This window comes from Homo sapiens, chromosome 2 (assembly GCF_000001405.40).
Source record: "Homo sapiens chromosome 2, GRCh38.p14 Primary Assembly".
NCBI classification, from domain to species: Eukaryota; Metazoa; Chordata; class Mammalia; order Primates; family Hominidae; genus Homo; species Homo sapiens.
Genome location: NC_000002.12, coordinates 83,100,420 through 83,116,030, shown reverse-complemented (window position 1 = coordinate 83,116,030; position 15,611 = coordinate 83,100,420). Strand labels below are relative to the sequence as shown.

The window sequence follows — 15,611 nt, the reverse complement described above, 5'->3', positions numbered from 1 at the left end:
CAGTGATGAAATAAAACCCACTTTTTTGGTGGGGGAGGATATCTAAGGTATTGATATACCCTGAACCTCGGGCAGTGGAGAATGGCTGCATTGTTTGGTCAGAGGCCTAGAAGGAACAAGCTTACAAGATTCAGAACAAGGTTACCAGGGGAATAGGTGCCCAGATGCATATATACAATCTAGAACAAACACTGCAGACATTTTTTGTCTCATACTAATGGCCAACAGATAGTATCTACTACAAACAAGTCTCTCAAAAACTGGATGTATAGGATGACTCATCTTGTGACTGTCAATCTAACTGTTTCTTAGATTATTCTGGTACTTGTACCATGTACCTAAGGACAGAATAAACATTAGGAAAAAAATGAAATACATTCTTAAGTCCCAAAACAGGGACTGTCCACTAAAGATATGCTAGCTACCACCAGTGCTGAATATCCAACCTGCCAACAACAGAAACCAATGCCAAAGCTTTAATATGGCTTTATTCTTCAGATATTTAGGCCATCCAAACATTGGCTGTTCAATCACATTCAACAACTTTCCACTTTGGCAGAGACAGAAACTCACCATATTGGAATCAATACTTGAATTGGCTCTTCATGTTTGTGTACTGTCACCAGCACCACTAACTGAAGACTAACAGAATGACTAATGTATTGACATGGTATGCCACATAATATTGCTCAGTCTTTTATAGAAAAGGAACGGTGACAATGAGTTAATAAATAGGAATTCCACTGTACATACCACATACTCAACCATCAAAAATCAGCCAACTTGATTGAACAGGACTGATATTGGAATGGAGTGCTGAAGGCTTAATTGAGGCATCAAATAGACAAAACCTCATGAGATTGGGCACTGTCTCCCAGCCACTTATGCACTGAATCAATTATTTATTTCATATACAGTGTCCTCAATAAAATACACTGACCCAGCAACTAAGGAGTAAAAGTAGGATCAACAGCTCCCATCATCACTCCCAGTTATTTTATGCACTTTGAAATTTGAACTTTTCATTTCCAAATCTTAAGATCTTTCAGGTAATTGTTAACTGCTTCCTGGGGCTAGGTGAAGCTAGGGTCTTGGCAGGGCTTGTAGTCAAGTATCCACTGTACTAAAATCTGGGCTTACCATGTTGTCATTTTCAGCCTCTCATATTGGGGGACTAGCAAGCAAAGGAAAGAGTTACTCTACTGATAATCCACCCTGATTTTTTTGAGGGTAGTGGTGGGGGTATGTTTAACCCAGAAGTTTCATCAGGTTTTCTCTTGGTGCTTCAACACCCAGCATTATATGAAAATAGTCAGTTTCAACAATAATATCCACAAGAACATGAAAACACTGCAGCTAAGTGTAAAAACCACCGTGGTTTCAGTAAGGGTTATTCTTCCAAGTAAGCAACCCAACTCAGCTAAGTGATGGCCAACTATGAGGGAAATCTTACATAGATGGGGGAGAAATAGATGTGATATAAAAATTGATACTGTATTTTGCTTAGCCTTTTTATTTAACTTTTTCTAGGACATATAACCTAGTGGTACCCTTGAAGAACTGGATACCTACTTTTCTTGAGGGAAGCTTTTTTTTTCTACGTGGATCAACTTACAAGAATGGTTCAAGAGATGGCCCTTACTAAACAAAGTTATATACTATCCCAAATATGTTCCAATTTACCTATTTTCTTGCCTTTAGACTTGCATACTGATTTGCTCCATAATGGCCCTAGAGATGGTTCAACCCATACTTTTGCAGCAACTGTTGCCAACACTTCAGAATAATGATTTCACATGTACAAGGTGACTGATAAGTAGAGACAGCTATACCAGCACATTAACAAGTCTGGATACACAGAGCCTCTGGCACGCCCCAAATGTTTACGTGAGTCACCAAGTAACACATCTTTGACATACGAACTATTATGACCTGTGGACATGCTTTTACCAATGGGGAATGGAAACTGGAATAGAGCTGGCAGAGAGATTATCTTCTCTTCTTACCTTAATAAATTTCCCTGAGACATGGTAGTTGTATTTAGGTTTCTGAAAATGTCCTGCCATCAGCTGTGCTTAGTGAGAACTAATGCTCCTTCTTGTATTTGCTTTTTCTATTTCTCTGTGTCACTTAACCTTTATCCTTCGCTTTTGCTTCCCTTGGATACAAATATCTGTAATATGATATCATTATATCTTTGGCCTCAGACTCTCTTATCCAGTCAACTTAAGCAAAGGCTACTGAACTATTTAGTTATTTTGTGTTGGTAAACAACTCATATTTTATTTGCACATATGACTGTTTCAACCCATTAGTTTGAATGACAACTGCACAACACAAAAACTAATACATGTGCTGGGAACTTAATAAGTGGTAAAATTTTATTTGAAAGATTAGGTCTCATTATGGAAAAATTACGATTTGGTGAATATTTTCTGTTGCTGTTTCTAGACTTCTTGTCCCCCGAGCTGCTGTCACTTAATACCTAAAATTTTCTATCAGAAGAGACAGAATCCCTCATTTTTAATGCCGTCAGCATCCTATGTAGCATTAACTTAATTTTATTCTTTAATGGTGGTAATGATTTAATTGGATAAAGCTGTACCCATATAAATTCCTAGGTGTTAAAGAAAGAAGAAAAATATTTGGTAATTTTGTGTCTTTACATTGCTTCTTCTCAAACAATACATTGTACATCCTATTAACTGCATAGAACTGGGACCAGAATCCCAGAATTATTCTGAGTATATGGAACTTTGATTGGAATTTTATATGCTGGGGTAAAATAATAGGCCTCTTCTTGAAATGAGAAACATAGAGATACCAATTTCCTTTACTTGACAGACTGTGATTTTCTCTTCTGATGCAGTACTCTATTGTAAAGTCATCATTTCTGAAGTTCAATCCGTAGAGAAATTAAGCTACTCACTTCAGAGTGATATCGTGTTACTTGTCAGCCTCTAGGTCCTTCAAAATGTCTCTCAATTCTTCCAACCAATCATCCCCTGGCAGCATCCATGAGTAGGGTTCATTTCTTTCATAAGAGGTTATTCAACTAACAAAATTCATAGGATAACTCTCCTGAATTCTTCTGTGGTTTAAACTTACATTTCCCCTTCCCTAGTAACAGGCTGTACCATGAGAGTGAAAAAAAAATCCTATTTTAAAATAAAATACCACGAGGTGTGTTTCATAGGAGCAAAAGGGCACCTACATTTTATCAGACAGAGGCATAATCCCTGCTGGGCATATCAATATAAAACCTATTTTTGTTTATTACTATTTGAGGATCCACTTATTATTAATAAAATTAATATTTCTTTTGAATGGCATGTTTATCCTTCTGAAACCTTAACTGTCTTCATAAGAAAAGATTTATTGGTCTTCAATTTACACATTGAAAGATGCCACAAGAGTAAATAGGATCACTTTTGTACCAGGCTTTAAAGACCAGTCTGGTGTTATTTAGAAGCACTGCAGGCAGAATAGCTACTTCTGAGAGCTGTTGCCTGACTTACACTGTCTTCACATTTTATTCTAATCCTAGCAAGTGGAGTTGCAACTTTATTTGCTCCATGACAATCTGGGGATGCTGAAAGGGACATGGATACAACACAGAACTCGAATAGTATGTCTCACCACTGTCACTTCCCAACCTTTTAGTTAGTCCCAAAACTTAGTTCACAGGTTCCCTATATATCCCAGCTATTGCCATAAATTTGAGAGACTTTATTATTCAAATGAGAATTCTCTGGACCTCATAAACAATGTTTATTTTCATATGACTTTATGTATACACAAATATGATTGCCTTTCAACATTTGTGCTCACAAACACCTGTTCTACCTATGAAATGAAACTGCAATATTTATCCACTGATATTACAAACTTTCAATTTTTCATGCCTTATAGTTTTTTCATAAATTCTAATCTTTTTATTTCATTCCATCTTTAGTCCTTTGTTTTTCTCGTAGATGGCCAGTATCATTTTTCTTTTTCTAGATTATCTGCAAGTTAGATGTTGTTTTTTAGTGAGACATGATGAATTATGCATACAATTGCATAATTCGCAATAATGAAAATGTACTGTTTGTTTAAAGTTTTGAAACAAATGTTACAAAGTTTGGAAGCAAAGTCTTAAAATCTTTGCTTCATAATTGTCAATAGAACTTGATCAGGATAGTGAATTATTTCACTGAAACCATAACATAATCATAAAAATCAAAGAAGTGAAGAGTGTAAAATTTTAAAGCTTCCTGCTCTCAGTTTTGAGATATTTTAATTTTTGTTTAACTCATATGCAACTTTTCATTCTTTATAGAGTATGCCAAGAGTTCAGAAAGAATAAGATCCACTGCCCAGATCTGTCCTGGCATCGCCACTGTCATGCCACAGCTGCTCTTTCTTGCTAATGCTGTACAATTTTACATAGTTAAGCCAGTACAAATGGCCTGTCCTCAATATGTAAATCCTCAATGCAGAACTCATCATTTGTTCATGTTCTGATACATGCCCACTCCTGTTTCATAATTCACCACTTTGTTCAAATTCCAAATCTTCAAGTTCCAAACCATGTTAATTACAAAATGCAAATGTCATTACAATTTACTTTTGTCCCCATGAGTTCAGATATAGTCTCTCAATGTGAGGATAATTCTTTAAATTTCTGCCTTTTCAGGGAGAAAGGAGTTCGAATAATTTATATGTATCTGGCTCCCTTCTTATTTCATGCTTTAATAATATAAAACACAAATGTTAAAACTGATTTAAATTCTAGGGGAGAAAGGCAGACTGGAGTAGCTTTGGTCACAAATCCATGTTTTGGCCAGAGAAGGCAAGGTACTTTGATTGAGAGTTCAACCTAAGTCACAAGTAATCTCCCAAATAAAAAGTAAAGTGTTTTTTTTTTCCAGAAGAAAGTAAAAGAGGCTTAGATTCATAATTAGATTCATAGTTAGAAAGCCTTTCCCTACAAAGAAAGTTTGAAGAGGAATTCACTCAGGTTTTCATCTAGTTCTTATATACTTTCATTTTTCACACTTCTTACATTATTTTACCAAATTAATACATCAGGTAAGAGGTAGATTTGATATATTAACTGGAATATGTCTGTAACTAAAGTTTGTATGCTACTTATTAACATTTTTTGACGTTGTTGATTTTGTTTAGAGCATACTGCTTTAGCTATTTTTATTTTCTCTTCTATATCTTATTCTGCAGGTTATTTTCTAAAGAACAGAAATTCTCTGAAATTGCATTTCATGAATTTCAGGATTATATGAGACAGGTGCTTGATGCACTTTGTTTCAATTAGCTATCATGGAGAACATGCCTTTGCCACTTACTAATTGCATAAATTCTCTATCCCAGTTTCCTCCTCTAAACATGAGGATAATAAAATGTCCACCTCACAAGAGTGTGGTGAAGATTAAATGAGGTAACACAGGTAAAACACTTAGAAAAGCTTCCATTACAAGATAAATTCTCAGTAAGGGTTACTGCTACTGCTACTCCTAGTACCACCATGACCATCATCATCATCAACATCATCATCACATCTTACACTTTGTCTTTTCTCTGCTATGAGAATGTGAAACCTATTTAGTGATATTCTTCCCTTATCGTCTCCATTCTGATTATCCTTTTTTCTAAACAGTCAATCATTTTATTTTTCATTTATGATTAACTTTTTATGTTATTCCAAGGAGGATCTGAATCGTCCATGTTTAAAGACATAGCTACAGCAGAACCATGGTAAGCTAAAGAAAATAAGCCATGTAATTGTTGGGAGCAAGCCCCCCAAAATCTGGCCATTAACTGGCCCCAAGACTGGCCATAAACAAAATCTCTGCAGCACTGTGACATGTTCATAATGGCCCTAACGCCCAAGGTGGTAGGTTGTGGCTTTACAGGAAGGAGGACAAGGAACACCTGGCCAGCCCTGGGTGGAAAACCACTTAAAGGCATTCTTAAGCCACAAACAATAGCATGAGCGATGTATGCCTTAAGGACATGTTCCTGCTGCAGGTAACTAGCCCAACCTATTCCTTTAATTCGGCCCATCCCTTCGTTTCCCATAAGGGATACTTTTAGTTAATTTAATATCTATAGAAACAATGCCAATGACTGGTTTGCTGTTAATAAATATGTGGGTAAATCTCTGTTTGGGGCTCTAAGCTCTGAAGGCTGTGAGACCCCCGATTTCCCACTTTACACCTCTATATTTCTGTGTGTGTGTCTTTAATTCCTCTAGAGCTGCTGGGTTAGGGTCTCCCCGACCGAGCTGGTCTCAGCATGTAATGAGGGAAAAAGATGAAGGGGATAATTCTGATGGTGGCTAACATTTTGTGGGCACCTATTACATGCAAGGCACAGGGCCAAATGTTTTACTTTAAAAATGTCAAAGAATTCTGCCCCAGGATGTCTCATACCTAGAGGCTCCCCATATCTGATTTAAATGATGAAATTTGAGAGTTTTGAGCTGATGATATTTAGACGAGATTTTGGACTTGGAGTTGATGTAAATGGTTGAGTCATTTTAGGGTTGGGCAGAATGTGATGAGCACATTTTGCATGGAGGATAGATGTAAATCTTTGGGGATCAGAGGGTAGATTGTGGGTGTGATTAAAGATATTGAGATGGAAGAATTTTCCTGGATTATTTGGATGAGCCCTATATGTAACCTTGAGTGCCTTATAAGAAGGAGACAGAGGGAGATTTGACACAGAAGAAGAAAAGGCAATATAACTACTAAGGTAGAGATTGAAGCGATGTAGCCACACATCAAGAAATGCTGGTAGCTACCAGAAGCTGAAAGTAGCAAGCAATGAATTCTCCTTTACAGCTTTTGGAGAAAGAGTGGCCCTGTCCCCACCAGACTGATTTTTTTCCCATTGAAACTGATTTCAGACTTCTACTTTTTTCCCATTAATAAAAAGAAAAGTCGAGCATCAAAATAAAAAAAAATGCTCTTATTTGACCCATGTCATACATGTATCTGCAACTAAGGCTATCTCACTTCACAGAAAGGTTTTTGGAATTCATTCTATTCTAAATACCCTTCTATATCGCATGCCCCAATGCTAGACAAAATTGATTCTGCCCTCACCACTCCAATGATACTGCTGTCACCAAAATCACTGGGTAAGAAGATAATGCTTTTGTCAAAAGCATTAGAAACACAAGCTTTCAAGTTACAAATACAATTTTTCAACTAAAAATGAAACTTTTGGAAAGTAATTTTACTTCCCAGAACCTTTATTTTTTCTTTAAGAAAATGGTGGTAATAGTAACACCTATTATGACATTCATGGTCTTTGAACCACATTTTATTAATCTTATAGTCCACCAAAGAGGCTGGAGCTCCAATCAGAATTTTTTGCTATTCAGTTTATGCGAATGATCTCAATACTTAAAAAAATTTTTTTGAACTAGTAAAATTTTAGAAAACATTCTGGCTACCACCTTATTTTTTCCAACTTTTAATTTTGAGGTGTAAGGATATTTTAAAGAATACATATTCCATAAGATAGTATTGATGCCCCATTTTTAAAAGGAACTTTTAATTGCAAAACAGGCAGATAGAATAAAGGAAAGTTCTTAATATTGAATAAATTTCCCTTTCATAATATCTTATTACTGATAAATTTAACCTTATGCATAAAATACACTAATTGATAAAAATCTGTAGGAGTGGCACTGGTTTGTAGGTGACCTGTGTTTTTCTATCTCAGTGTCTGCACTAATGTTTCTCCCTTTACCTGGTTTAGTTTGTTGGTCTTGGCCAGTTTCAATTCTGCTTTTACCTTAAGGATCATATAAAAGTTTGTTTGCGAAGCTTTGCCTGATTCTCACATTCAAGCCTTCTTTCTTGCTCCCAGACAGAATAAAAAATAAAATCTAGTTCTAAAAACAACTTTTTAAAATTTTACTTTTAAGTTCAGCAGTACATGTGTGGGTTTGTTATTAAATATGTAGATAAACTTTTGTCATGGGGATTTGTTGTACAGATTATTTCATCACCCAGGTGTTAAGCCTAGTACCCATTAATTATTTTCCTGAATCCTTTCCCTCCCCCCATCCTCCACCTTCCAATAGGCCACAGAAATCAAAACAAACAAAAATATTTTGATGAAATAATCTTTACATTTGCAATTGAAGCCAGAGATCCCAAGAAAGGAAATGATTTATAAAAGGTCATGAATTGTGAGAATATTAAAGTTTGGTCTAATGTCTGGTTTTTCTCGTGTGCCCAATTCCTTGCCTATGATTACATACACTCCTGCCAGGGGCTGAGAGTACATCAGCTGGAGCTAAAGGGGAACAGATAGCTGAGGTTGGTCAGTAGCATAGATCTAAACCATGGACAAACCCAGAGCACCAGGATGAGCAGCATGAAATTGCTGAATTAGGCATTAGGGTGCTTGGAATCTTGCATCAGAGAAGGGACGGAGATCATTGTACAAATTCAGACTTATTAGAAAATGTGTCTCCCAAAAAAGCATGTATTAGGAACTTAATCCCAAATGTAACAGTGTTAGGAGGTAAGTCTTAATGGGAGGTGTTTAGGTCATGAGGGCTCCACCCTCAGGAATGGATTTCTGCCAAGCATAAAAGTACTGGAGGTTGCCAGTTTAAGCTCTTGCTCTCATGCAGCAAGAAGGTCCTCACAAGATGTGACCTCTCAACCTTGGACTTCCCAGCCTCCAGAGCCATAAGCCAAATATTTTATTTTTTTGTTTCATAAGTTACCTGATATCTGCTATTCTGGTACAGCAGCACAAAAATGGACTAAGAGAGTGTCTTAGAGGTTGTATGGTGTTTTTCTTTGGCCAGTAAAGCCTTAAGAATAATCTTCATTTGAGATTTCAAAATCAGGTCTTCCAATATAGAATAGTCTCTTATAGCACATAAAATCCTCTCACACAGAATAGTTGCCTTGTTGGTGTTTGACTGGAGTCTCATTTTTGATGATACAGCAATAAATAAAATAAATAAGGTCCTCACTCATCCTCACAAAGTTTATAGTCTAGTGGATCAAGATTATAGCTTGTGAGCTGGAATTGTATTTAAGAGAGAAATATTGGTGACTTGTACTTAAAATATATATATTTGGAGGAAAAGGTCAGGGGAAGTGTGTTTCCAGAGGTATGTGCATGCATCTCTGCTCCTGTGACACTTAGGCACTGCCAAGAACTGGGACTCTAGACATATCAGAGCTTCTTTGCTGGTGAGACCTGAGACATCAAGATGAGGTTTGAGATTCTTGCAGGAAGTTCTTAGGATCCTTTACACATTACAGAGGGTCTGAACTTGGTTACAAGCTGCTGCTCAAAGTGGATGAGTGTCTTTTCCTTGGCTTTCCATGGTTCAAATACTTCTGTCTTACCAATTTCATGAACACACATTTTCTTGATAATATATTGTCTTTATGATCTTTTCAAGTCAAGAATACCCAAGCATTTTGTCATTAAAATATAATTTACCATAGCTCCCAAAGCAAGTTAACAAGTTGTTGAAATGAATCAGAGAACAATGGCTCTTTCTCATTTTAATATATCATTTGTTTATTATACTAACTTACATAATTTGTGTTGTTTTTACTTACATCTTGTTTTACAATTAGGAGACCATGAATGTAGGAAGACCTCTTCTCTGGTTTTGCATCTTTGATTAAATGATTGGATATATTAGGAAAAACATACTAGTTCTCAGTTATTTTAAGTTTCTTATCTGAAAAATGCTGTTAGATTAAATGAACCAAAAGCTAATTTATGTATTAAGGTTATAAGATCAAATGTACGAAAGAAAAATAGCCATGACCATTTTCTAGCAAAAAATTATAGAATTTGTACTATTTCAATTAAAACTTTCAAGGGCTTTATGAAGTGGGTATCATTATTTCCCTTTATAGGATAAGGAATTTGAGGCTATGAGAGGCTATGTATCTTAAACAAGGTCAACAGTTTCCAAGTAGTGTGGATCATCAGTTGGATCCCTTACTGTCTAAGTTAGATCCTAATCACTTTACTACCACACAATCCATAAATATAAGGGTTTACTTAATATATTGATCGACTGTTTTTAACACGAGATGAATAGGTCCCATTAGCCATGGCATATTATCACAAATTTCTCTCAGTTTTTCTGGGACTTAAAGTGGATGCTACCAACATAAATAAATATTTGGAAAAAAAATGGGTGACAGTAAAAAGTGTTGAAGTGATGTCACCTGTTATGACACTCCATGTTCTATACACCTGGCATTTAAACATCTCTCTTTAAAGGAATGAAAAACAGTGTAAAAGAGGAGATTGGTCAGCACATTAGAGATCACGGGAAGACTATTCAGGAGAAAGTCAGTGTTGGTGGAGAGCATTCTCAGCTGCCAGTGGAATGATTACTTATAGTGCAACCTTTCTGAGGTTGTCACTCTGTCATTAAAATCCAAATGTTTAAATCTCTCAAATATACTTTGACACTAATACCATGGATTGTTTCTGAAGAGAGAGAATGATGCTTATTTTTAACCTACAGATATAAAAAATATTTTTTCTTTTATTAATTATGAACATGATTCAATTGCTAGCACCTTCCATTTGTAGCAAATGAGAGTCTTAATTGTGGTGATTTATCTGGTTCAGAAAGCAAATAAGTTGAATATCTATAATACCCAGTGGTATAGAATGGAGGAGGCCTGTTCCACTATTGAATATAGGATATGTATGTGTCTGAGCTGGAGAAAGAAATGACTAGGTTGTAAAGAAGGGTTGAGGTCTCTGATTAGAAGGTTGAGTGAGAGCACCTCCAAGACAGAGATTTTTTCTCCAAATCTGAGACCCTTTAAACTAAGATCTTGCGTTAAACTAAGCAAGGACATAAAAAGGCACAACAGTATTCCGAGAAAAGAGAGAACACAGACTTACAGCGCAGAGGCCTTTTAGGGAAGCAGAGGGGAAGACAGAGTGATTGTGGCTCAGTGTTTTTACTGTTAATCTTTTCTTGAGTTGTAATTTTAAGGGCATTTTAATATATGGAACAGATAATGATATAGCTGTTGTGCGTCAGTTCTGTAACTCTGTTCCTCACTTCCCTTGATATCTGCTGATGGTTCTATGTGGAACTATTTAGACTCTGTAGACCACAATGTAAATATATCTAGGTTAGAAAAATAAGATAACTTTGAATGTTGATTGATGACCTTCTGTGGACAGCTAAGTGGTAGGTTAAGAAAATCCTAGCACACCCTTAAGTATTCACGGTTAAATATCTCTGTAGCCAATAAGGCTGTCATTGATAGAAAAGTACTTCCCAGTATATCTCAAGATGAAATGATAGATTAAAATTCTCTGGTTTCTATAGCTCTCAGCCGCAGAGCTCCTTGATGTACAGAAAGCCAGAGTCAACTACTGAGTTTGAGTTGTGAGAGGCCACCCTACAGATATGGTCATTACCTTCTGCATAAGTGAAATCAAGCTGCAGTTCCTTGGAAATTAAGCAATATTTTTGCACACATCCCCTTCTTTTTTTTAAAAAAAAGACCCAAATATTATCAATGCATTTACCTTTGTTTTTTTCAGTAGGGGAAGTCCATGCCATAGTGACCTTCACTTTGAACAAAGCTGCTCCCTGTTCGCATCAGTTCTATGCTGGTACAGTCTTGTGTGTGGCTACTCTAAAAAGGTCACTCTGTGGGATAGGGTAAACATCAAAGAAAGAAAATCTGCCCCTAAATGTAACCCCCTATGTTGTATCATATTGCATAACAATGTGATATCTGAAAATAATTCCTTCAGTTTATTACATTTATAACACATTGTTCTGCTCTTTCCTTGAGGCAGCAGGAAATTTATATCAGAGTATTTTCTTCCTGCCTTTCCTGAGGAGGAGGGGGCTCTTGCTCTTGTGGTGAAGGTATGAGGACAAATTCTTGAAGAGACTTTGTACTGAAGACTTTAAATTCTTCAAATTTCACCTATAACAAACTTGGGAGAACAAAACAAAGGTGTCAATACAAACTGCATATCAAAAGAAAACACTCTTTCTTCAAAAGTGCTAGTCATTTGAAGAAGAAAAATGAAACTTTGCAACATTAGGACAGCAAATAAAAGCCAAATTCCTTAAAAGTTAATGATGTAGGGTGCAGATAATGAGAAACAGAAATGGAATTCATAGAGACATATTATCTTTTTGACGCATGGCAAAACAATGCATAATCAACATTACTCAACAGTTCCAAGAGTTATTTTTAAACCAAGTGCCTTTAAAACTCAAACCCATTAAACATTCATGATCCCCAAGCCATGTGTTTCCTACAGTTAGAAACATTTATGTCATGTGGGTAAACTGCTTGCTAATAGAAACATTTGCTATTTTGCATTGTAATAAAGACAGTACCATTTTGCATAATATCATTCACCCTTTCATTCTGTAAGCACTAAGTGAGGGCTAGTGACTTGGTGAGCAAGAAAAGCACAGGGCCAATCTAAGAGACTTGTGTCTACCTTGATAAAAAGAAGAAAAAAAAAAAGGCCAGGCACAGTGGCTCATATCTGTAATCCCAGCACTTTGGGAGGCCATGATGGGCAGATCACTTGAGGTCAGGAGTTCGAGACCAGCCTGGCCAACATGGTGAAACCGCATCTCTACTAAAAATACAAAAAATTAGCTGGGTATGGTGGTGCACACCTGTAATCCCAGCTACTTGGGAGGCTGAGGCACAAGAATGACTTGAATCTGGGAGGCTGAGGCTGCAGTGAGCCGAGATCATGCCACTGCATTCCAGCCCAGCCTGGGCAATAGAGTGGGACTCTGTCTCAAAAAAAAAAAAAGAAAAGAAAGAAAAGAAAAGGAAAACACTCCATGCTATGTGAGATTGGAAACTATTCAAGATTGAGGAAAATGCAGCAATTCCTAACTAAATTTTATAGAAAAAGAAATAATACTTTAGAGGTGAAAGGTGTTGTTCATTTTCTCATAGTTGGTAAGCAGCAAAGTCCAATCCATGTGTTGAGTTGGCTCGTGCTCTTTCTACTGCATCTTATTTTATTTGCCACCTGAGAGCAGAGAGTAGAATTCGAAGTTTGATGTTACACTCCTGACAAAATTTATGTGTATTTAACATCCTTCCCCTTTTGTGTAAGCCACCTCAACACATAAAGTTAACATGGAAAATATTGGCAATATTGTTTTTCACGTAAAAATAAGCACTCAACACAGTTTCAACATCTCCAGGGTGTGAGCAGGACAATTTTTTAAATTAAATAAATCTATAAGTAAAAATATGGGCTGGGTGTGGTGGCTCACACCTGTAATCCCAGCACTTTGGGAGGCCAAGGAGGGTGGTTCACCTGAGGTCAGGAGTTCAAGACCATCTTGGCCAACATGAAGAAACCCCATCTCTACTAAAAATACAAAAAATAGCTGCGCGTGGTGGCACATGCCTGTAATCCCAGCCAGTCAGGAGGCTGAGGCAGGAGAATCACTTGAACCCGGGAGGCAGAGGTTGTAGTGAGCTGAGATCACACCATTGCACTCCAGCCAGGGCAACAAGAGTGAAACTCCATTTCAGAAAAAAAAAAAAAAAAAAAAAAAAAATATATATATATATATATATATATATATATATAACCTTAATTCATATTTAATTTATTTTGCTAATGTGTACATAAGAAATTAGCAGTTTTATGGAAAAAATGAATGCTATATATTTAAAAAAGAAAGAGAAGAAACAAATGAATAAGTAAATTAATTAATTGCACCTCAGTGGGGTTATTTTTGCTTTAATCTTTAATGTGAAGATTAAATGAAATATATATGTAAAAATACATTTTAAATTATAAAATGAAAGATAATATTTCTGTAACCGGGGGTCCTTGCTCCCAGAGCTCCCAAGATGGTGGTTGGCTACTTCCAAAATGGCAGCAGGTCACTTCCAAGATGGTGGCAAGCCTCCTGTTCTCTGACCTGGGGTTCTTGGCCTCACGGATTCCAACGAATGGAATCTTGGGCCATGCAGTGAGTGTTATAGCTCTATTAGAAGTCGTGGGTCACAGAAGAGAACCCTGGAACCCAGTGACTAGGGTTCAGCTCGATTAGGACGAACCCAGGCATTTAGCCATGCAGAAACAATGGCAAGCCTTTAGCCCCATCAGGAGTGGCAACGGGCGCCTCACTGGATCAAGAGCACAGCAGACACCCTGCTGGATCCGGAGGGATGGGAGTCAGCAGCAGGTCTGCGATGGTGGCAAACAGCAGTGGTGGACAGTGACCGAAAGCTCAGTTCCAGCCGTAACAAACATGGACCAGAAGGTGCAGTTGCAAGATTTAATAGAGTGAAATAGAGTGAAAACAGAGCCCCCATACAAAGGGAGGGGACCCAAAGGGGGTTGCCGTTGCCTGCTCGAATGCCTGGGTTTATATCCCGATCCTTATCCCTCCAGCTCTGCTCTCAGGCAATAGATGATTGGCTATTTCTTTACCTCCTGTTTTTGCTTAATTACCATTTTAGTGAGCTCTCTGATTGGTTGGGTGTGAACTAAGTTGCAAGCTCCCTGTTTAAAGGTGGATGCGGTCACCTTCTCAGCTAGGCTTAGGGATTCTTAGTCGGCCTAGGAAATCCAGCTAGTCCTGTCTCTCATTTCTATCAATTTCCAGCAACATTATATAGAAGCATAAATAGACTACTGTAATAACCTAAATAGGTCTCCCTTACCCAACCTCTCTTCTTACCCCTTCAGTCTGTCCTGTAATTGACAGAGTAACATTTCAGCAATGCCTTCTTATTCATTAACCCTATCTAACACTCTTCCTGCAGTATTAAGTTAAAACTCCTCTTCTTTGCACATAAAACTATTCCTTATCTGGCAGCTTATCTTGTCATTCTCCTCTTTCTTCTCTCCTTGGCTCTCAACCCACAACACTCAGTTCTCCTAACATATGCCTAAGCATGTTGTTTTGCCCCTTTACACATTTTCATATAAGATGTCCCTTGAATTGCTAAGTCATACTGTGGGCCTGTGGAATACATTTTTCAACCTAATTAAATATATATAAAAATATATATTTATATATAAAAATATATTTATATATATAAATATATATATTTATAATATTTATATATTTAAATTCACATATATATAAATTCATAAATAAATATATGAATGTATATTTAATTATATATAAATATATGAATATATAATTATATATAAATATATATATTTAATTTTTAAAATTTTAAATTTTTAAATTTAATTTTAATTTAAATTTTACCTTAAGTTCTGGGATACGTGTGCTGATCGTGCAGGTTTGTTACATAGGTATACATGTGCCATGGTGGTTTGCTGCACCTATCAAACCGTCATCTAGGTTTTAAGCCCCACATGCATTAGGTATTCGTCCTATTGCTCTCCCTCCCCTTTCACCCCACCCCCAACAGGCCCTGGTGTGTGATGTTCCCCTCCCTGTGTCCATGTGTTCTCATTGTTCAACTCCCAGTTATGAGTGCGAACATGCGATGTTTGGTTTTCTGTTCCTGTGTTAGTTTGCTGAGGATGATAGTTTCCGGCTTCATCCATGTCCCTGCAAAGGACATGAACTCATTCTTTTTTAT

At 36.8% G+C, this 15,611-nt stretch overlaps 1 annotated feature.

Moving 5' to 3' along the window:
* Positions 11,254-12,453: an enhancer, noted in NCBI's record as "P300/CBP strongly-dependent group 1 enhancer chr2:83330702-83331901 (GRCh37/hg19 assembly coordinates)". NCBI's record gives its function as "activates an origin of replication core promoter dependent on BRD2, BRD4, P300/CBP, MED14 and CDK7 cofactors, with strong dependence on P300/CBP, by STARR-seq in HCT116 cells {active_cell/tissue: HCT116}" and the evidence as "EXISTENCE:reporter gene assay evidence [ECO:0000049][PMID:35650434]".